This window comes from Homo sapiens, chromosome 1 (assembly GCF_000001405.40).
Source record: "Homo sapiens chromosome 1, GRCh38.p14 Primary Assembly".
Lineage (NCBI taxonomy): Eukaryota > Metazoa > Chordata > Mammalia > Primates > Hominidae > Homo > Homo sapiens.
In genome coordinates, this window is record NC_000001.11 from 65,363,216 (window position 1) to 65,387,440 (window position 24,225).

The 24,225-nt window shown below is 38.6% G+C and overlaps 1 protein-coding gene across 3 annotated transcripts in view; it reads left to right on the forward strand.

Moving 5' to 3' along the window:
• The window catches only part of DNAJC6 (DnaJ heat shock protein family (Hsp40) member C6), a 151,123-nt gene that overhangs the window by 98,467 nt on the left and 28,431 nt on the right, over positions 1 to 24,225 (forward strand). For all 3 annotated transcript variants that reach the window (NM_001256865.2, NM_014787.4, NM_001256864.2), the window contains 7 exons: positions 1,420 to 1,570; positions 2,670 to 2,719; positions 2,833 to 2,981; positions 16,187 to 16,309; positions 20,978 to 21,111; positions 22,497 to 22,691; positions 23,597 to 23,714. In NM_001256865.2, coding sequence (NP_001243794.1) covers positions 1,437 to 1,570; positions 2,670 to 2,719; positions 2,833 to 2,981; positions 16,187 to 16,309; positions 20,978 to 21,111; positions 22,497 to 22,691; positions 23,597 to 23,714 — 903 coding nt within the window. In that variant the 5' untranslated portion in view covers positions 1,420 to 1,436. The remainder of the gene's footprint in view (positions 1 to 1,419; positions 1,571 to 2,669; positions 2,720 to 2,832; positions 2,982 to 16,186; positions 16,310 to 20,977; positions 21,112 to 22,496; positions 22,692 to 23,596; positions 23,715 to 24,225) is intronic.

A 24,225-nucleotide genomic window follows, 5' to 3' on the forward strand; every position in this document is an offset into this window, starting at 1 on the left:
TTGAGACGAGATTTGAGTGGGGACATAGAACCAAACCATATTACTTACTCATGCCAAATATTCATCAAAGGTCACCTGGGTCATCAAAGGTCATATGCCACATAGCTCCTTTCTCTGGGACCCAGAAGTCATGGACAGAGCAGCCACAGTCTCCAACCTTGCTGATTGCTATGGCAAAGGGAGAGAGAAATACAGACAGAGAGAGAGAGAGACAGAGAAAGAGAGAAAGAGAGAGAGAAAAACTATGGAGAATATCACATTGACAGTTAAATGTACCCTGGAAGTGATGCACAACATACACTGTGATACACAGCACTTCCCCTCACACACATAGGCTGGAGCAGTGGTTTTCAACCAGGGGTGATTTTGCCTCCACTAGGGGATATTTGCCAATCTCTGGAGACATTTTTTATTGTCACAACTCAGAGGTGGAGTGGGGGTTGGGGCAGGTGCTACTGGCATCTAGTGAATAGAGGCCAGGAATGCTACTCAACACCTTGCAGTGCACAGGGACAACCCCCTCAAAACACGCACAATAAAGAAGTATTTAGCCTAAAATGTCAATAGTGCTGAGATTGAGAAGCCCTGGACTGGAGCTAAGCACAAGGGGCCAAAAAGCGCAATTTTAAGAAGCTATAAAGGGAAGAGAACCTGAAATATTTGACAGATAGCACTAATAGCTGCCATGCATCCTAAGGCCTAAAAGCTGTACTAAAGCCCCTTCAGAAGGTGTTTTTCATGATAGAAGTGAACCAGTGCTTTAAGGGATAGCCATGGAATGGGGCTTCTAGTATAGTCAGCTTCATCAGAGGGCCGAGGAGTGCCCTGGACTCACTGAAGTTGACTACTGCTCTTCCTCAGCAGTCTCTCTGGAGCAGCACTGTCCAAATGTAGTACAATAAAGGCCACATACGTAGCTTAAAAATTTTCAGTATCCACACCAAACAGGTAAAAAGGAGCAGGTGAAATTGATTTTACAGCTATAATTTCTTTAATTCAATATATTTAAATTATTATTTCAACATGTAATCAGTATAAAAATATTGAGATACTTTACATTCTTTTTTTTTTGCACCAAGCCTTTGGAATGTGTTGTGTGTTTTATATTTACTGCACATTTCAGTTGAGACTAGCCATATTTCAGGCGCTCAATTGTTACACATGGCTAGTAGCGGCAATACTGGAGGTTTCTGTTCCTGGGACTCAGTGAGGGACTGACCTGGGTCTCCCCTGAGGACCAGTAGCAATGCTATAACTCAGAGTCTATAAGTTCTGAGAGTGGGACACAATTTCCAGGAATATCTGTCCCAGACTCTTAAAGACAGTCTGTGTATGTTTTAAGAATGAAGAGGGATTGGTTTTCCGTGGATTCTCTGCCATCACCATTTTTGTTTGTTTGTTTTTTTTTTTTTTTGGCAGGTGCCTCATCTCCAGACATGGAGCCCAGCTATGGGGGAGGTCTCTTTGACATGGTAAAAGGAGGTGCAGGGAGGCTCTTTAGTAACCTAAAGGACAACTTGAAAGACACCCTCAAAGACACATCTTCTAGAGTGATACAATCTGTGACCAGGTACGCACATTCTTCCCAGTTAATTTAGTGGATCCCCATGCTCTCAAAGGATCTGGTTACCTGCTGACTGCTTGTCTGGCTCAAAGAGTGTCAATTTTGGGATATAATTTTATGGGATCTGATGAACTGAGAAATGTCATTGAAGACATAAAGTTAAGTCCTTTAGAAGCTATAAGCACGGGCTGGGAGGACTCAGTTCATTGCCACATTAGAGTATAATGGTTGCCCTCCCTGTCTTTAGAATCAAACATCTTGGGTTCTAATGCAATATCTGCCCTTGTTAACTAAGAGCCCTCAGGCAAGTTAATTAACCTCTCAGAGCTTTTTTTTTATACCCTGACAGGATTTGTGTCTTTGGGTTGTTTAGGGATTAAATGAGATTAAAATATACATGCAATCTGAATAAGCATTACCTACGGATTGTAATCAAATCAGAACTTTGTTTTTGTTTCCTACTAGCCCTTTAACATTTATTCAGTGAGAGAAGTTTCCTACTCTTCCACTGTATGAAAATTCTTATAAGCAGGTCATAGGAGTTATTTTTTATTGTTTAGTATTAGAAAATTCTAGGGTCACTTTGAGTTACAATATGCAGTTCTTAATCAGAAATTCAAACGTCAAGTACATTATATTAATCAAAATTTTAATCTTTGTTCAAAGATAAAACTATTCTTACCTCTGATTCTCAACCAGGGCCTGGTAGGCAGAAAAATGGTGTCATTTATTTTTTCTCAACCACTTCTTCCCCTACCCCTTAGCCACTTACAATTATGGAAGATATTTCCAGGTAGGCAAAGAAGCTAGAACAATTGGTGTTGATAAATAAGCAGAGTTTTCTATTCTGAGATTGATTCAGATCATGAAGTGGCATCTACAAGGGCATTAGAATGCACCAGTTGGAGTGGCATATTTATACCCCTGAGGTCACGGGCTTTCTTTTCTCAGTGATCCTTCCTTGTTGGAGAGAAGGGCTGGAGGGGAGTCGAAACATGCCCCCTGGACAGCGGTGTCCCAGTTCATATGCGCAAGTGATTGAGAGAGAGAAATCTTGGCATATTTGGATCATTTTAATGAGTGCCCATTTTTGTCTTGCTTTTAGCTACACAAAGGGAGATTTAGACTTCACTTATGTTACCTCCAGAATTATTGGTAAGTTTCTCATGTTTATTAACAGTCCTTTGGCTCAGTTTCCCGTTGCTGCCCATCGTTATAGCAGACGTAAACATTTAACCTGTTTTCTTTCTGTGTGATCTCTCTCCTAGTGATGTCCTTTCCTCTGGACAATGTTGACATAGGATTCAGGAATCAGGTTGATGACATTCGAAGCTTTTTGGATTCCAGACATCTTGACCACTACACAGTATACAATCTGTCACCTAAGTCTTATCGAACTGCCAAGTTTCACAGCCGGGTAAGGATTTTTAGCCCTGAGATCATACTGTTGAAGACGTGATGGTGCTTTTCCTCCTCAGAGATACCCTTAAAGCACGTGCCCTTAGGCATCTGAAGCTGAAAAACTATACACTCTGGACACTTCTGTTCACAAAATATTTATTAGGCTGCTATGAGATATCCTAAAGATTTTCCTTGGGTGAGGATACTTACAGGAAAGTGTATCTGTCAATGAAATACCATCGAAGTTGGGGTCTCAAGTCTGTTGGTGCCTGGTTGTTCCATGGCACAGTGTTCATGAGGCTTAAGTTGGAGATTGAACTGCTGCTAGGGCAGTTGGCTGCCTTCATGCTGTTACACTAATTATGCCGTTGACCCTTCTTTATTGCTACTTGGTATCAAGATAAGGCAGTGTGGATAGACCGGTACTGACAAGTATTAATGGGAACGTGTTTCCATTAATATATTTTAAGAAGTTTTTTGAACTAGAGAGAGAAATATTCCTAGTTTCACCTTGGCTTAGGTTTGAATCTGATATCGAGCCTGATATTTCTGGCCACTGAATTCTGACTTACTCACTAAAAAAAGGCATTTTTTTCCCCTCTCAAGAACATCTCTAAATATTTTTGACTTAGCCTTCAGATATGATTGGTTCTGCAACTTCATTTGGGTCTATTAATAAATAGAATGGACTTTCTATGCATGGATCCTTTAAAAGTGAAACTTGATGTCAAATGTGTAAAATGATAGCTGGTTGACAATGCTGTGTATCTAGGATCTTAGCTTTGATGCTGGAACACACTTCGTTCCAAATTCCAGTTACCATTGATAATCTCTGGGCCTCAGTTTCCAGATCTGTAACACACACAAGAAAATTGGTGTACATGCTTTATATGGCTCCTTCCTGCCCTAATATTCAATAAGCTATGGGAGAGTTTTAAGGACCTCTTTTTCAGCGTATTCTGAGAACAGTCTCAAATTTTGGTGTGCATCAGAATCACTTGGAGGGCTTGTTAAACACAGACTTCTGATTCAGAAGGACAAGGGAGGCATAAGAATCTGCATTTCTAACAGCTTCCTGGGGGCTGCTCCTGATGTTGCTGCGGGGACCACTCTTTGATAAAGCACTGATAACGCCATTCTGAAGTGGTTTGATCTAAATTGCCATTCTATAATGAAGATTTTAAATGCATCTCTTTAAAATCTTCTGTAATAAAATAACCTTCCAACTCTTATTCCATCTATTAGCTAATTCAGAACAAGTGAATTAACATCAAACAAAAATGTGGATAGATATTTTGTTCTTAATGTAAGGCAAATCTTTTGAATTATTTTTCTTGACTGGAGGCTAAGTCAGTGCCATTATTTTCATAATTTAAGGACTGTGGAACATCCTACACAATATTTCATAGAAATTTTATTTGACCTTGAAAGATCTGTGATAATCTGGAGCATTTTCCCTCTGAAAGTAAATAAAGATATGATATCATTATAGAAGCATTTATACATATAAAGATGTCTCTTTGTATAATGTTTATAAAAGGCAATCTCTATAAAGATGTTTTTAATGAAAGGCATCTATCAGTGTAACTAAAGATTTTGTGACTGGACTTAAGGGTTTACCAAAGGAATCAGAGATTACATATTAAACACCTACCCTGGGCTGCTCTTACTTGCCCTAGAAGAGGAGGGAGCATTTTTTTTTTTTTTTTTTTGGATACCTAGAACAACAGTTCCTGACATAGATAATCAATGTTTTTAAAAAGCATGAATGTGCTGCACCCATTAACTCGTCATTTAGCATTAGGTATATCTCCTAATGCTATCCCTCCCCAAAAATAAAAAATAAAAATAAAAAAGCATGAATGTGGAAAGAATTGTTAAACACTATAGATATAAAATAAATATTTGGTTTTTGTTCTCAAGACACCTAAGCCTAGTTGGCGAGAGAACCCAGGACGTTCTAAAGATAAGTACAAATAATATTTATAATACCTGCCAAGGGAGATTAGTAAAGGGAGACACCAGTGACAGCTGGACCTTAGAGCAGGAGAAAGGCTTATATAGGTCAGAGGAGTGGAGTCATTTCTTGCCTATACAAATCATAAAATATCTTGTGAGGCTCTTGATGATCTAGCCTCTATCTGCTCCTCTAACTTCATCTTTTACCATTCTTCATTGCCCAAAAATCATATGCTCCAATAGGGATAGGCATGTGCTCATGTGCACACAGACACACACAATCTTCTTGCATGAGCTACTCCTTCTCCCTTAAAAGCTACCCATGTCACACACCCTTCGTCTCCTTCCTTCCTTCCTTCTTCCCTTCTCTTTCCTTTCTCCTTCCGTTTTCCTTCCCTTCTCCTTCCCTTCTCCTTCCTTCCTTCCTTCTTTCCTCTTCTTCCTCCTCTTCTTCTTCTTCTTCTTCTCCTCCTTCTCCTTCTTCTCCTTCTCCTCCTCCTCATTCTTCTTCTCCCTTCCTCCTTCCTTCCTCTCTCCCTTCCTCCCTTCCTCCTCCTCTTCCTCCTCCTTCTTCTTCCTCTTCTTCTTCTTCTTCTTCCCCCTCCCCTCCCCTCCCTTCTCTTCCCTCCCCTCCCCTTCCCTTCCCTTCCCTTCCAAAAGAGCCTCACTCAGTTGCCCAGGCTGGAGTACAGTGGCATGATCTTGGCTCACTGCAACCTTCGCCTCCTGGGTTCTGATTCTTGTACCTCAGTCACCCAAGTAGCTGGGATTACAGATGTGTGCCACTATGCCCAGCTAATTTTTGTATATTTAGTAGAGACGATTTTGCCATCTTGGCCAGGCTGGTCTTGAACTCCTGGCCTTAAGTGATCCACCTGCCTCAGCCTCCCAAAGTGCTGGGATTATAGGTGTGAGCCACCACCCCCAGCCCATCTTCTTCTTTATTTGCCTAATTTTGCTAAGGAGAAGATTTCCACATGCCACGAGGCTTTTCCAATTCTCTCTCCTAAAACACAGGATTGCACTACATCTTTAGCTCTTCCAGATAGTCCTAGAATTTGGCAGAATGCAAGTGGATCCTCTGACCTGTCTCCTTTACCCTTAGTTGCATCTTAGGGAGGCAGTCCCAAAGCCGTAGTATTTCCATCTTACCTTTGTTTTTGATTTGCCTACATCTCTTTTCAAACTCCTAGACCTTTCTTTCCCCAGCACTAACACTGTGAATGGATTTGCATCTCATTGTTGCATGACTTAGAAAAGTTTTCTTTGTTTTTACCTTTCAGTTCATGAGGACTAGAACCATTTCTTACTCCTTCCGGTTCTGTGGAGTGCTACGTCTGAAATTAAACCTTATTTTAATAAATGTTGATGGTAGAGTCTACCATAAATACTAAACATGGAACTGGTTTTATTTGTAGATTCATAAGGGTGTATAAGGTCTTAGGAATTTTTTATTTATAAACTCGTGGGAGTCTGGATCTGCCCACATCATATACCTCTGTGCCTTGAAACCTGAATTCAGTCATTTTACATGATGATTATGTGATTGTTTGTATATGTTCAAACCTGCATTTGAGGATGTAGGTAGTGATGTTGGCAAAGACAGGCTGTTTCCAGGAAGATTTTACTTTGCTGAGGGTTGTCATTCTGTATTTCGATTCACTTTTATGCTTAGAAGCCACATTGGTTGACAGGAATTGTATGAAATGATCAATACTGTTTTCCTGATTTTTCTATTATGTATTTGCATATGTCACAGAATGTTAAAATAGGACTTTGTTTAGTCTCAGTTTAGCAGAGGCTACAACTCAAAACAATGCATAGCACATAGCCCAGCATTCAAAAGCGAAGTACTGGAATACCTATTCAGGACTGCAAAGGATGTATGAAACCTCAGGTGTTTTTATTTTTTTTTAATGTTTTTTGACTCTTTATAGCCAATATCCACCTTGAGGAAATAAGAGTACTGATGCTGACAATGAAGTCCTGGAGACCAACAAGATGCATCAGTTAAACCAGATGTTCATAATGACTCCTCTGTGTATGTAGATCTATTGCTAGGCTTCAGAGAGCTTAACCATCTGTTTCTGCTCCTTTAAAAAAATTATTGTGGTAAAATATACATAACATAAACTTATTGTAACCATTTGTAGCATAAAATTTCAGTGGCATTAATTATATTCCCAATGTTGCATAACCAACACCGCTATCTATACTTAAACCTTTCTCATCATCCCCAACATAAACACTGTTCCCATCCACTCCATGCATATGTGTGTGTATGCGTGTATACACTGGTTTGGTTTCTGCATAGAAGGTTTATAGCTGTGCCCCAGAATATCAGGAACCTTTACACATTTCTTGGCATTACTGTTGGCAATAAATGGAAAGCTGGATGAATGTACACTAAGTCTAACCTGATTCCAGAGTTCTTAAGTTCTGATTAATGCTATTCTAGGGCCACTTTGTCTCTCCTTCTTCCACTGTTTACCCAGGAAGGACAGTATGGTGACAGAGTCCTTCTAGCAGCAAAGAAATCTGCAGCCCAGCTGGTTGTTTTAGGCTCTACCCTCTTAACTATTTCTAAATGACATAATCTTCTAGGATTTCTTTCCCTTTGGGAACAATTTGATTTTTGGAAAATGTATTATCAACTTGGGTGTCTTAAAGGACTCATGATTGAAGGTCAATGTTTTTACCCCTTTTTCTTCCTGAGCACACCAAAGAGGTCGCTACAGCTCCCAGTTGTTTCTGCATTGGTGGGAGGTTGGTGGGAGATTGGCTGGAGTGGGAGAAGTTTATAGCTCATATTTCATCTCTCACTCTGCTACCATGCCTCAGTGTCAGGACAAGAAATAACTGGAGTGAAAAAAACAATCCCTGGCCTGGGGGCCAGAGGACCAGAGACTCCCACATTCTAGTTATGAAGCCTTCCATGAATTGAATGTCTTAACCCTGGTAAAATACAGCCATCACTTGAAGCTGTAACCACTCTACAAATGCAAGGTGGAGTTATTGTTATCAGTCATCAGACAATGTAGTATAATGGAGAGTGCACAAATTTTATTTTTTTAAACTGAGATGAAGCCATATAGTGTATACAAACTTTAGACTTTAAAAATTACCCTAGGTTCACATCTCAGCTGTTCTTCTTCCTGGGCAAGTCACTTTTACCTCTCCTTGGACTCGTTTTTCTCCTGTGTAAAATGGATATGCCAATAAGAGAGTGCCTATCTCACAAGCACTCTTAGAATTTTTTTTATAGGTTTGTTGTAAGGAATAAATTTGATAGCAGTCTCTTGCTTAGAGTCATCATGCAGTAAGTAGTAGCTATGATTAACATTGGTAATAATAAAATGCTACAATAAGTGATTGACTGAATTATCCCCATCCTCCAAAAATGGTGTGTGATTCATAAAACACTAGATGTAGCAATTAAGTCATACTCTCTGTAGAAGCATTCATTCCTATGCTTAGTGAATGGCTGCTTCTGCCCATCCTGTCTTGGGCAAGGGATGATGGAGAGATGAAAATTGAATGGCATCCAGCTCTAGCGATGATTTGGCTTCTTTTTCCCACTGGGTGGTATCATGGCAGTGCTGTAATCTGTATGGTGTCCTCTGATGCTAAGCAAGCCCAGGAGATGTTCAAGGTGTTCAGGAAAACTGGCGACAGCATTGCGAAGTGTCAGCTACTGCATGAAGCTGTGAACCCCAGAGAGCTACAAAAATAGCTTGCAGTGATTGAATTCCTTTTTTATTTTGTTGGTTTTGTTTATGCCTTAGTGTTTTCCCCTTTTAGACAGAGCACATGCTTTTAAAAAATTCTAATTGTATGTTTACTTAATGGTGTATAATTATATATCAAGTAAATATATAATTATGGAGTACTTTAAATTAATATTATTTACTTGATTGAGTTAATGATTCTGGAGCTATTAGCCTATTGTGCTAAGAATAATTTAGCCAACTTTTAGCTGAGACTCATTACAGATATTGACATTTGGGGTGTGTGTGTGTGTGTGTGTGTGTGTGTGTGTGTGTGTGTGTCATAGCCAGTTTTTAAAACCTTCAAAAATATTGCTGGGGAAATAAATTTTCTATACTTTCATTCTGTTACAGTCTAAAAAAAACCCAATAAAATGGGTTCACCTGTTCCCTCCTCAAGATATGGTACATGTGGACAAATCTTATTATAAAAATAGATTGCCAAATGGGGTTCATTCCTTTATTCTTTCACTCATTCATTCACTCAGCAAATACCTGCTGAGCACCTACCATATGAGCAACACATGCACAGTGGACACTGGGGTTACAAAAATGAGTAAGTTATGGTCTCTCTTCTCATGGAGCTTGGTGTCTACAAGGGGAGACAGGTATAAGCAGTTTATTCAGTACAGCTTGACCGCAAGCTAGCATTTACTGTGTTTATGTTGTGCTACTTAATTCTGACAACAATCTTGTAATGCTCATTTATACTTTACACACTAGATAATTGAGGCCTGGAGAGGTTAGTAAATTGCCTAAGGTTAATCAAGTAGTAAATGGTAAATCCAGAGTGAAAATCCAGCCTGTGGATTTAACCATGTTGTTCTACTGAAAAAAGCTGTAATAGATGAAAATAAACTGGGGCATGAGTATAAAGATGACTAAGCGTTTCTGTCTGTGAGTATTAGAGAAACAGTCAGAGCCAAGAGAACACTTGAACATTTTTTTCTTTTTTAAAAATTTGAGTTAAAATATGCATATATAATGTACCATTTTTACCATTTTAAGTGTACAGTTTAATTACATTTATATTATTTTTTCCTCCTTCAAACCCTCTCCCACTCCTCTTCCTGGCCTCTGGTAACTACTAATCTACTCTTTATCTTCATGAGATCCACATTTTTAGTTTCTGCATATGAGTAAAAAACATGCAATATTTATCTTTCTATGCTTGGGTTATTTCAGTTATAATGGCCTCCAGTTCCATCCATGTTGCTGCAAATGACAGGATTTCATTCTTTTTTATGTGAATAATATTTCATTGTATATGTATACCACATTTTATTTATTCATTCATCCATTGGTAGGCACTTAGGTTGATTCCATATTTTGGCTATTGTGAATAGTGCTGCAATAAACATGGGAGTGCAGCTTTATATTCGATATATTGATTTCCTTTCTTTTGGATATATACCCAGTAGTGGAATTGCTGGGTCATATGGAACCTTCATACTGTCCTCTATGGTGATTGTACTAATTTACCTTCCCACCTACATTGTATAAGAGTTCCCTTTTCTCACATTTTCACCAGCATCTGGTATTACCTGCCTTTTTGATACAAACTATTTTAACTGAAGTGAGATGACACTATATTGTGATTTTGATTTGCATTTCTCTGATTAGTGATGTTGGACATTTTTTCATATAACTGTATGCCATTTCTATGTCTTCTTTGGAAGATCTGTTAATTCTCTTCAACTCTTTTGCCCAGTTTTTAATTTGTTTTTTTTTTTTATTGTTGAGTTGTTTGAGCTCCTTATATATTCTGGTTATTAATTTCTTGTCAAATGAATAGTTCACAAGTATTTCCTGCCATTCAGTGGGTTGTCTCTTCACTTCGTTGATTGTTTGCTTTGCTTTGCAGAAGCTGTTTAGCTTCATATAGTCCCAATTGTGTATTTTTGCTTTGGTTGTGTGTGCTTTTGAGGTCTTCCACAAGAAATTTTTGTCCAGATCAATGTCCTGGAACATTTCTCTAATGTTTTCTTCTAGTCATTTTATATTTTTGGGTTTTGGATTCAAGTTTTTAATCAATTTTATTTGATTTTTATATATAGTTAGAGATATAGGTCTATTTTCATTTTTCTGCATATAGTTACCCACTTTTCCCAGCACCATCTATGGAAAAGACTGTCCTCTCCCACTGTAAGTTCTTAGAATCTTTGTCAAAGATGAATTGGTGGTAAATGCGTGGACTTATATCTGGGTTCTCTATTTTGTTCCATTAGTCCATGTGCCTGTTTTTATGCCAGTACCATGCTGTTTTGGTTACGGTAGCTTTGTAAAAAACTTTGAAGTCAGATGATGTGATGCCTCTAACTTTGTTCTTTTTGCTCAGGGTGGCTTTGGCTATTTGGAGTCTTTTGTGGTTCCACATACATTTTAGGGGTTTTTTTTTATTTCTGTGAAGAATGTCATTGGCATTTTGATAGAGATTGCATTGAATCTGTACATTGCTTTGGGTAGTATTGCCATTTTAACAATATTATTTCTTCTAATCCATGAGCATGGAATACCTTTCCTTTTTTTGTGTCCTCTTCTATTTCTTTCATCAGAGTTTTACAGTTCTTCTTGTGTAGATCTTTCACTTCTTTGGTTAGATTGATTCCCAGGTATTTTATATTTTTTGTAGCTATTGGAAATGGCATTGGTTCCTTGATTTCTTTTTCAGATTGTTGGCTGTTAGTAAATATGAATGCTGTTGATTTATGCATGTTGGTTTTGTATTCTGCAACTTTACTGAATTCGTTTGTCAGTTCTAACAGTTTTTTTGGTGGAGTGTTTAGGTTTTTCTAGCCATAAGATCATGTTGAGTTCGAACAAGGGTAATTTGACTTCTTCCTTTCCAATTTAGATGTCCTTTATTTCTTTTTTTGCCTAATTGCTCTGGCCAGGACTTCCAGTATTATGTTGAATAATAGTGGCGAAAGTGGGTATCGTTGTTGTGTTCCATTCTTTAGAGGAAAGGCCTTCAATTTTCCTCCATTCAGTACGATGTTAGCCATGGATTTGTCATAGATGGCCATTATTATTTTGAGGTATGTTCCTTCTGTATCTATTTTCTGAGGATTTTTTTTTTTTTGAGACGGAGTTTTGCTGTCACCCAGGCTGGAGTGCAGTGATCTTGACTCACTGCAACCTCCGCCTCCTGGATTCAAGCAGTTCTCCTGCCTCAGCCTCCCAAGTAGCTGGGATTACAGGCACCTACCACTATGCCCGGTTAATTTTTGTATTTTTGGTAGAGACGGGGTTTCACCATGTTGGCCATGGCTGGTCTCAAACTCATGACCTCAAGTCATCTGCCTGTCTCAGCCTCCCAAAGTGCTGGGATTATAGGCGTGAGCTGCCGAGCCTGGCCTCATGAGGATTTTTATCATAAAGGGATGTTGAATTTTATCACATACTTTTTCAGCATCTATTGAAATAATCACGTATTTTTTGTTCTTGATTCTATTCATGTGGTATATAACATTTATTGATTTGCATATATTGAGCCATCCTTGTACCAATGAAGTAAAACTTTTTTTTTTTTTTTTGGAGACGGAGTCTCGCTCTGTCACCCAGGCTGGAGTGCAGTTGTGCGATCTCGGCTCACTGCAAGCTCCGCCTCATGGGTTCACGCCATTCTTCTGCGTCAGCCTCCCGAGTAACTCGGACTACAGGCACCTGCCACCACGCCCGGCTAATTTTTTTGTATTTTTAGTAGAGACGGGATTTCACTGTGTTAGCCAGGATGGTCTCGATTTCCTGACCTCGTGATCCGCCTGCCTCAGCCTCCTGAAGTGCTGGGATTACAGGCGTGAGCCACCATGCCTGGCCATGAAGTGAATCTTTGTTGATAATGGTGAATGATCTATTTAATGTGTTGTTGCATTTGTTTTGCAAGTATTTGGTTGAGGATTTTTGTATCTGTGTTCTTCAGTGACACTGGCTTGTAGTTTTCCTTCTTTGTTGTATCCTTCTCTAGTTTTAGTATCAGGTAATGCTGGCTTTGTAGAATGAGTTCGAAAGTATTTCCTCTTCTTCCATTTTTAAAAAATAGTTTGAGTAGGATTAATATTCATTCTTTTTTAAATATTTGGTAGAATACAGCAGTGAATCCGTCAGGACCTGGGCCTTTCTTTGATAGGAGAATTTTTATACAGCCTCAATCTCATTACTTGTTACTGGTTTGTTGAGGTTTTCTATTTCTTCATGGTTCAATCTTGGTAGGTTGTATGTGTCCAGGCATTTATCCATTTCTTCTAAGTTTTCTGATTTGTTTGGTATATAATTGTTCATAGTAGCCGTCTCTTATGAGTCTTTGTATTTCTGAGGTCTCAGTTGTTAGGTCTCCTTTTTCATTCCTGGCTTTATTTATTTGGGTCTTCTCTCTCTTTTTCTTAGCTTACCTAGAGGTTTATTGATTTTGTATATTGTTTCAAAAAAAACAACCTTTTATTTTGTCGAAATTTTTTTCTTTTTAGTTTCAATTTTCTTAATTTTTGCTCTGGTCTTTATTATTTCTTTCCTTCTAGTAATTTTGGCTTTAGTTTGTTCTTGCTTTTCCAGTTCCTTGAGGTGTATTGTTAGGTTGTTAATTTGAAGTCTTTCTACTTTTTCGATATAGGTGTTTATTGCTATAAACTTTCCTCTTAGTACTTCTTTTGCTGTATCCCATATGTTTTTGTATATTTCCATTTTAATTTGTTTCAAGAAATTTTTAAATTTCCTTCCTAATTTCTTCATTGACTCATTGGTTGTTTAATTTCCATGTGTTTATGTATTTTCCAAGTTTCCTTTTGTTATTTAGTTGTAAAGTTTTATTCCATTGTGGTCAGAGAAGATGCTTGGTATGATTTCTATTTTATTTATTTATTTATTTTATTTATTTATTTTTTTGAGACGAAGTCTTGCACTGTTGCCTGGGCTAGAGTGCAATGGTGTGATCTCAGTTCACTGCAACCTCCACCTCCCAGGTTCAAGTGATTCTCCTGCCTCAGCCTCCTGAGTAGCTGGGATTACTGGTGCCTGGCACCATGCCCAGCTAATTTTTTGTGTTTTTAGTAGAGTTTCACTGTGTTGGCCAGGCTGGTCTTGAACTCCTGACCTCGTGATCTGCCTGCCTAGGCCTCCCAAAGTGTTGGGATTACAGGCGTGAGCCACCACACCTGGCCAATTTCTGTGTTTTTGAATTTGTACAGACTCGTTTTGTGGACTATGGTCTATTCTAGAAAATGTTCCATGTGCTAATGAAAAGAATATAAATTCTGCAGCAGTTGGGTAAAATATTCAGTAAATGTCAATAAGGCCTATTAGATCTTGAACCTGGGTTTTAAAAGATGAATTGGAGTTTACCAAGAGAAGAAAATACATTGCAGACAGAAAGGAGCTTGTACAAATGTACATTTTATGATTCCTCTGACAGCAAAATGTATCTTCCCAGTTATTCTGTATTTTTAGTCAGTAAGTCATTTCCGTTCCTTGAAAACAAACACGTCAATGGGGAATATATATGTGGGTAAAGACTAGACCAGAAACAGTCCTGAATCATGTTGGGTAAAAGGGGCAAGGCATCATAAAGTTTAAATTGACAGAGGCCAATGCTAGATCACCCTGGACTGTTTGGGAGCTATGCCAAACATTTCAAATACTTTGTTTAATAAACCATACTTGTCTCTCCTAAAGGTATATGAAAGTGGGTAACCTGGAAGGTCTCCTGACATTTGCCCCACAGTCATCTTGTAGAAAAAAGTTACAAATTAACAAAAAAGAATGGGCTTTCTTGGCAGCCCCAGACAGAGAAACTCAATGTGTTTGCTTTTAGACGTCAGCTCTACCAAGAGCACAGATAATTTCCTAGTCGTATTTTGATTATTTATTATCTGATTACCAGAAAAGGGCTAATCAAACAAATTCCTCCTGCCTCCCTTTCCCATGGTCAAATAGAAGGAATTCGAGACATTTGGGATTGCAGAGCACATTCTGACATCATCTGTATGAAGCCTCTTCTTTCTGCAGAATTCCGTATCTCAGGAAATAGCACTTCTTGTATCCTTCTATCCAGCCATTCAAGCTGGAAACTTGGAGTTCAGGCTTGACTCTTTCCTCTCCCTCCCCTGACACACTCTTCAGTACACCCCTCCACATGCACACACTGCCACCATGTATCACCTGTCTTATGTCCAGGTGTCCCACCACCTATCTCCTGAGTCCCTCAAGTGTGTTTGTACCCCACTGCTACTCAGCTAGCCTTAGCCACTATCATCCCTTATTGACACTCCTCACCAACCTCCTGACTGGTCTTCCTACCTTTAGGCTCTTGTTATCCATTTCTGTTCTCCATACTGGAGCCTGAAAGATCTTTGGAAATGTAGATCTGAGAGTCATTCTCCTCCTTAACAAGACTGTATAATCTGGCCCTTCAGTCTACACTCTCACCATGAAGGACTTCATTTTTTTCAAACATGGCCAGTCCTGACTGCAGGGCTTTGCACTGGCAGTTACCCGATAAAATGATAATAATTGCCAACATTTATTATCACTCTGGGTGTGTCAGATACTGAGCTAAGCTCTTGAAGTACATGTTCATGTAGTATCCTGTGAGTTATGTAAGAGGTACTGTTCACCACATTTTATGAAGAAAGGCTTAAAGAGGTTATGAAGTTTGTCCAACTCTAAGCTTCTCCTTGTTGTTTCTTAGCTAGATTAGTAAGTATGTAATCAACTGGGGATCATGCCTTAACAGTATTTTGAGGCAAGTGATAATGTCAGCCAGTGTGCTGTTGTAACATGATTTATATTCAGAAGATCTGGGCTGCAGTGCTGACGCTGAGCAGCAGTGTGACTCTGGATAACCTCTGAGAGTCAGTTTTCTCATCTGCAAAATGGGGTTTATATTAATACCTGTCTTAGATGATTGTTGCATGGATCAGAGCCAAGCAATATTCCTATAACTTAGTTGATGATCCATAATGTGTGAAAAAAATATGCATGTTAAATGAATGAAAATGCCAAGGGTTTCCCCTGTAAGTTGTGTCCTTTGATTAAAAGAGAAAAAAAATAGATCCATGCACAAGCCTGCCTTTGGCTCACTCTATAGCACTTTTCATGTTATCACGAGAGCTGGGATAAATTAGAGATGGTGCAGGACTTATAACCCTATAATTAAACATTTGGGGGGAGGTCAAAACATTTTATGCTTAATAGAAATGAAATTCTATGTAACCTCACAGAATAGAAAAAAATCCAAGGATGTATTTGAAATGGTCTAGTTTAATTTAAAATGTGCTTCAAAATGTGTTTTCATACCTTTACTGAATGAGAATTCTTTAATTTAAAAAATTGCTGTGTTAAACACCCTCTTCTTCATGCATTTGGACCCTGTTCCCACTATTCCTATCTATATTAAGAGAGGATGTGGTATCACTTCCAGAAGATGTTGGTTGGTGTGATAACCTGCTTATGAAGAGGAAGTTGCTGGAGGAATTAATTTCCTTTTGCTGTGCTCCCTTAGGTCTCAGAATGCAGTTGGCCCATTAGGCAGGCTCCCAGTCTGCACAACCTTTTTGCTGTGTGTCGGAATATGTATAACTGGCTACTGCAGAATCCCAAAAATGTCTGTGTTGTCCACTGCTTGGTGAGTAACCTTTTGTTGTTGGTGGTGATGGTTTGGTTTGGTCAAATATGGATGAGCCTGTACACAATGGTAGACAGGTAACATTTGAGTTCAATAGGATTTACTGAGCCCATATTTAGGAATTGGGTAATGTGAGAGTTGTAAAAATAAGAAAGGGATTTATTATTCTTGACTTAAAGCTTGACTACTAGTGGGAAAGGCAGATGTATACACAACTCACATAGTGTGGGGACTCTAGAATGTGCTAAGTATTATAAAGGAGGTAGAAACAGGAGTAGTGTGTGCACAGCTAAAAATGCCATTGACTTTTGTGTGAATAAAGTTAACATTAACATATTGGCGTATTTATTTTTTCTTCCTGTTTGTGTTTGAATAAAAATAAAAGAAAAAAGATACCTATGTCCTTGTAAGAAGTCACATAGATTGACTGTATTTTAGAGCATTCCCAGTGAGACTAATGGTTTTTCTGACCATTGACTTCCTAGAGTTCCTTTCCCTAACTCTTCTCAGAACTCTTGCCTGTCCTTTACAACTCAACTTTCAGTAAAATCCTTCTGACTCTTGAGTATTTTCACAATACAGACATTCCCATTATATCTAAATGTCTTCTGTGGCTTTTAATACTCTGTGTCATAGTAAGCTCTTCTCCTGCATATTTTCCCACTAGACTATTATAATCTTGCAGGAAAGAACCATGCCTTTTTTTAAACTTTTGTACTGCAGGCATAAAAGGCTTCAATAAGTGATTGAATACACAAATGGAATCTGAGCATTAATGCTGGAAATTTCAAAGCTTCTATAAATTTTAAAGCTTCTATAAACTTTAGTGTATATGTTTTTGCTATAGTATTACTTGATGATTCCCAACCCCCTGTCCTTTCTTGAGAGCCAGTTGGCTAAAACAGGAAAGAAAGTTAAAGAACATTTTTTCTTTCTTTTTACTTCACATCTCCAAACTCTTGGCAATAAAGGGATAACACTTGGTGTTTGTAAGAATTTAATGTTAAAGACCAAAGGATTTTCCTTTCCAAGGCACAGCAGATGGTGTAACAGAACAGATTACTTTTAGGGACTAAGCAACCTTAAGGACCTTGGTGATTTTCTCTTTACTCAAGAATTTGCTGTAAGTTCAGAGAGCCTACATCTGACAACTTGATGGAGGAAAGATGGCTCAATGGAGACCAGAAACTCCCAGTTCCAGTGATTCTTCATAAAGAATAAAAACCCAATGAAGAAGAAAAAAGAAGAGGCAAACAAAAGATTATGGTTCTACAGGGTGCTCAATAAGCTCACTCAAAAAGGACATGCATATGTTGGAAATGAATACCATGTCTTTGGGAAATGGAATTGAAGCTGGGGGAGGGAGTTTTTTTTTTTTTGTTTTTTGTTTTGTTTTGTTTTTTTTTTTTTTTTGGGACCGAGTCTTGCTCTGTTGCCAGGCTGGAGTGCAGTGGCACAATCTCGGCTCACTGCAACCTCTGCCTCCCAGGTTCGAGTGATTCTCCTGCCTCAGCCTCCCGAGTAGCTGGGACTACAGGCACGCACCACCACACCCAGATAATTTTTGTATTTTTAGTAGAGACGGGTTTTCACCATGTTGGCCAGGATGGTCTCGATCTCTTGACCTCATGATCTGCCCGCCTTGGCCTCCCAAAGTGCTGGGATTACAGGCGTGACCCCACCAGGCCTCTTATTTTTATCTTAATATACTACTGGTTATTATATTAAAAATAATAAGCATAGTGGGGCGTGGTGGCTCATGCCTATAATTCCAGCACTTTGGGAGACTGAGGCAGGTGGATCACTTGAGGTCAGGAGTTTGAGACCAGCCTGGCCAACATGGTGAAACCCCATCTCTACCAAAAATGTAAAAAGTTAGCCAGGTGTGGTGCTGTGCACCTGTAATTCCAGCTACTGGGGAGGCTGAGGCAGGAGAATTGCTTGAACCTGGGAGGCGGAGGTTGCAGTGGGCTGAGATCGTGCCAGTGCACTCCAGTCTGGGCAACAGAGTAGGATTCCCTCTCAAAAAAAAAAAAAATGATAATAACAATAGGCTATACTAGTCTTTTAATAAAAAACCAAAGTTTTTAAAAGACCTGCATCACAGGTAAAAAGAGAGGCTACATATCCAAGAGCCATGGATCTGTGAAAAGAGTGTCAGGAAGGCTAAATTCTGAAAATAAATCAGATTAAGAAAAATATCCTTTTTTTAAAACTGTGTTTGGAATAAGAACAACAACAATTTCTTGAAGCATGTGGTATAATCTTAACTCCTTTATTCTGTTTTCTTTATCAGAGGGAACAAATGTCAAACTAGGAAGAACGTAACAATGATGTTTAAGACAAAGCTGGTAGGTAGCAAGATAGTACGAGAGCCTCACAATCCTCCAAATTAATTCACTCTCAAGGCTTAAATTATGTGACACAATACCGAAAGCACTTGGAGAAGCAATTATGGATTTCATTTGTAATATGAAGAAACAGGAAGGAGAGGTGCCAGGCAAATGAAGAGAGGAGATTTTTTCCCAAAGTATGGAAGGAGGTTGATCCTGGAAAGTTGTAGGCTTGTGAACCTGGTGGTAATTCAAGGCACAATTCTGAGAAAGTTTTGCACAGAAGATTTTAAACTCTTAGCAAAAAAGGAATCTCCATTGGTTTGTTATGAGCACATATCAAACCAACAGAACATTTCACATGACTAATAGACTAGTTGAGATAGTTTATTGGAGTCCTGCAAGATATTTCTTAGTTTTTTCTAGTCAAGATTGAGAAATTTGGCTAGGTTGTTATATATTTAGTTGAGTTGAGGCTGAATATCTGCTTCCAAAGGTAGGTGATTAATGGATCACCTTTCTCCTGGGAGAAGGCTTTATTTAGTTATTCATTTTAATCAACAACTTTGATGAAGATGTGGAAATTCAGCTTATCAATTTTCTTAGAATTATAAGGGTCACATAGTGAATTTGGATTTTAAAAGTTCTTGTAGGTTGGTCACTTAACAAAAATTAATAATATGAAATTAAATACAAGATAAATGTAAAGTCCTGAATTCTGGTTTTAAAAAATTAAACATATTTGCACATTACCTTAACATGTCATCTGGAAAAAATCTAGGGGTTTTAGTGGATAGAGAGAATAATAAAAGCTTATGTTGTTACTTAGCCTACATTTATACTAGCTTGGGCTGGGGTTATGTTAATAAAAGCATAGTGTCCAGAATAAAGAAGATGATATTTCTTCTCTAGTTTGGTCAGAATATATCTCATATCTTTCATTTCACATCTGGGCAGCATTTAAGGTTGTCATTTTAAAACTTGAATTTGTTTAGAAGAAATGTGCTAAATGATGATGTCTCTTAAAATGGAAAATCAAGTGAGGAAGAATAGAAGGGATTGAGTTTGTTTTAAAAGGGAAATAGAAGCATTGATAGAAAGGGAGGGTATTTCAGATATGTGAAGGACTGCCATAGGAAGAAAGGAGTAGGTTTATTTTTTGTTCTCACAAAAGGATGAGGGTCATTTAGTGGAAGCTATGGAGGAATGAAAGTCAACTCAACATATTCAGTATAAGGAAGAGCTCTGTAAACTGGAATGGGCTACTTCAAGTATGAGTAATCTCCCTGTCACTTAAAGTGTTCTAGAAGAAGCTAGGTCACATCTGTCAGGGATGTTACTGAATTTTGTCTTAATTAGCTTGAGCTGCTGTAACAAATATACCATAGACCGGGTGGCTTAAACAACAGGAATGTAGTTCTGGAGGCTGGAAAGTCCAAGATCAAGGTGACTGCAGTTCTTTTCTTTCTTTTTTTCTTTTCGAAGAGTTGGGGTTTCACCATGTTGCCCAGGCTGGTCTCGACCTCCTGAGCTTAGGCAATCTGCTCGCCTTGGCCTCTCAAAGTGCTGGGATTACAGACATGAGCCACTGTGCCCAACCAAGGTGCCTGCACTTGTAATGTCTGGTGAGGGCCTGCTTCTGGGGTGGCAGATGGCTGTCTTCTTGTTTTTCACATTGGCCAAGGGCAGAGGGAGTTGACAGCAAGCTCTTTTGTCTGTTCTTATAAGGGCACAATTCCCATTCATGAGATCTCCACTCTCCCTACCTCATTACCTCCCCAAAGCTCCACCTCCTAATACCATCACATTGGGGTTAGGATTTCAGCATATGAATTCTGGGGCATACAAACATTCAGTCCACAACAGATTTATTTCTACATTGAATGAAGTTGAATCTGGTGAAGGTTCTTTATTTTATACGAATCTAGGAACATACTTTGCATGAGATACATATATGCCATATCCCAACAAGCAGCATTTACCTAACCTGTGAGCTCGTTACTTCCAGTCCTAAACCAAGAGACTTCAACTATTAATTCAACAAGTCCAAAATTACTTTGAAGATTATATTATTTTTCACCAAATATATACAAATCAAATTGGGCTTCTCAGATTAGAATCAATTTTATTCTAAGGATAAGTCTTTCCTTGCTGCCTTTGATTTAAAAAGCTGAAACAAATTTTGGTTTTCAAGTGAATAATTTTTAAATGAAAAGCACCCACAGTTAAGAGGATTTCTCCTCTCTCTGTCTCTTAATTGCAAATTCTGCCATTTTCAATGGAGAATGGCTGATTTGATCATGTTCATAATGATTTTATGCATTTTCTTTGACAGGATGGACGGGCGGCATCATCAATTCTGGTTGGTGCTATGTTCATTTTCTGTAATCTCTACTCTACTCCTGGCCCAGCCATTCGATTGCTATATGCAAAGCGACCAGGAATTGGACTTTCACCATCCCATAGGAGGTAAAGTAAGCTAGATGCAGGCTAGGCACAGATGTAGTCTAATTGGTATCATGTACTGTTTTAAATCTGCCTTACAAATCCTTTCATAAGTTTCTTTTACTTTATCTCTGTATTAGTCCATTTTAATATTGCTATGAAGAACTACTTGAGACTGGGTAATTTATAAAGAAAAAGAGTTTCAATGGATTCACAGTTCCACATGGCTGGGGAAGCCTCACAATCATGGTGGAAGGGGAAGGAGGAGCAAAGGCACATCTTACATGGTGGCGGGGAAGAGAGCGTGTGCAGGGAAACTGCCCTTTATGAAACCATCAGATCTCATGAGACTTATTCACTATCATGAGAACAGCATGGGAAAACCCGCCCCCATGATTCAATTACCTCCCACCGGATCCCTCCCACAACACGTTGGGGATTATGGGAGCTACAATTCAAGATGAGATTTGGATGGGGACATAGCCAAACCACATCAATCTGACATTATCCTGAACTATGCAAAAACTGAATTGGATTAGGATATTAGATTGTCATTCAGTTTGTAAGCCCCCATACGAAAATTTATGATGTTAAAACTAGAAGGAAACTTTAAAGAATACTTATATCCAACTTCCCTCATTTTACAGGTGAGGAAACTGGGACTCAAGACAGGTTGTGATTTGCCTCAGGTCTAATGCCCAGTGGACAGAGCCAGAACAGCATTCTTGATCCCAAGCTCTAAGACCAGTCCCTTTTTGTTTTATTATACAGGTCTTTATTGAAAAACAGCAGTAGCTGGTTATACTTATCACTGGTGATCCTCCTGTGGGAAACCTGATTTAACAAAGGGAAATGCAAAAATACATAGAGAATAAAGCGTTTTAAAATTCACTTTTTCATGTAACTCTGATATAGAAATAAAAGATTACAAAAGATAATCTGAAAAATGGAATAAAAAAGAAAACTGTTTTTAGATAACATTGATTTTTCTTTTATCACAATTTCTTCATTTTTTTAAAAACTACATCTCCTTAATTTTTTGGATTAAAAGTGCTTCTGATGATAAAATTCTAAAATTTATCCAAAGCCAAATTTTAGCTGATAAATTGGATCTGCTAGATAAAATAGGAATAGATGTTCAAATATTGAAGTACTATAAAATTCCCATAAGCTTTTTGATTTAATAAATACCCCAGTATCAGTTCATTGGGGAAGTACAGCAATCTCAGTAGATAAAATGTTTCCTAAATTATTGATCGCATTATCTTTTGCTAGTTAATATTTAAGAAATTGATAGAATAAGTTTTTATTATAACAGTAATTTGCAAGAAGAATCTTCATAGCAAATATTGATTGCTTGCTTCTCCTGATGTGATGGGCCCCAAGAGAGTGCCAACCTTCTGTTTCAGATACCTGGGCTATATGTGTGACCTACTGGCAGACAAGCCCTACCGCCCTCACTTCAAGCCTCTCACAATTAAGTCGATCACTGTCAGTCCAATACCCTTTTTCAACAAACAGAGGAATGGATGTCGCCCTTACTGTGATGTACTCATTGGAGAAACCAAAATATATTCGACTTGCACAGATTTTGAACGAATGAAGTAAGTCATGATACTTTACTTCTTCCTATGTACTTCTCAATTCTCATGTAAATGAGCAGGAATGAGTTGAATCATATTCTTCCTGCAAGACTATATCATTGTGAAATAGCTGATATATAAAAAATGTTCAACATCAGTGGTAATCATAGAAAAGTACAAGTAAATCAGGGGATGTTATGGCCCTTTTTCAAATGAAACCATGATATAGGCTAAGGGACTAGCATAAGCTGTATACAGGATTAAGACCAAGGGGAACATGGGACACCTGGTCATTGAAGAAGGAGATGGCCTTGATGGGATTAGGTGAGGGTAATGGAAGAATCACTGATGAATGAGGTTTCTAAGTGAGCAACTAGGTAGACGGTGATGTAATTAAAGAAGTTACAGAATCCATAATAAAGAGCAGGTGCCAGTGGGTGGTCATAGGGGATGTGGAGAGAAGGGAGTGGGTGGTAACATAACATGAAATTAGTTAGGAATAGATTGAATTTGAGGACTGGCATCCAAGACTTTCACAGAGCAAGACATTTCTGTTTGTATCCTGATCTCCAGTGGATTTTTTGTTCCCTTTATCTCTGCTTTTAGTATTAATTTAAAGTTAAGAAAAGGCAAATACATGGGGGCTAGATGCATTTGAGGAAAATGAGATCTGCAAAGCAGGCATGGGCAATTGCAGTCCAGATGGGATGCAGAGAGGGGGCCTGGCATTAGACCAGCACCATCCTACTGCACAACCAGTTGGCACTGGCTGCACTCCTGTTTTTGCTCAAGATAGGAAATAGTTTCTGGGTCCGGGCCTGGGCGAACAGTCCTCTGGGCCAGAGCCATAGAGAACTATACCTGTGTCTGTGTGATTGTACCAGATTGGACTCTCTTTCAATGTATATTTTGGTCTGTGTTTACAGAGAATATCGTGTCCAAGATGGAAAAATCTTCATTCCCTTGAACATCACTGTGCAAGGAGACGTGGTTGTTTCCATGTATCACTTGAGGTCAACCATTGGGAGCCGGCTACAGGCTAAGGTATGGTTTTTGGAAGAATCATGGCATAAGTTCATCTGAGTCTTCAATAGGAGTATTTCTGAATCTTTTCTCCCCATCACTTTGGGCTTGAGTCACTTGTAGTTTTAGAATGAAAAAGAGCGTTTAAAGATTGCTTAGCTCACCTCCTTCATCTTACAGGGGAGGAACTGAGACTCAAAGAGGTTGTGACTTGCCCAAAGTCCTTGGCATGATGTCCGTGCCAGAGGATGACAGCCCTGGAACTCTTAGCAAACCATACTCTTTAGAAGCCTGTGCTTTTCTTATAGTGCCCCATTTGGATCAGTGTAAGGGAAGAGATTTCTACTGAGGATGTGGAATTAAGGGATTGTATTTTTTCAATTTTAAAAAATTGAGATAAAACCACATAACATAAAAGTCACCCTTTTAAAGTGTACAATGCAGTTGTTTTTAGTCTATTCAAAAGGTTGTGCAAACATCACCACTAATTCCAGAACATTTTCATCACTCACAAAAGATACCCTGTACCTAT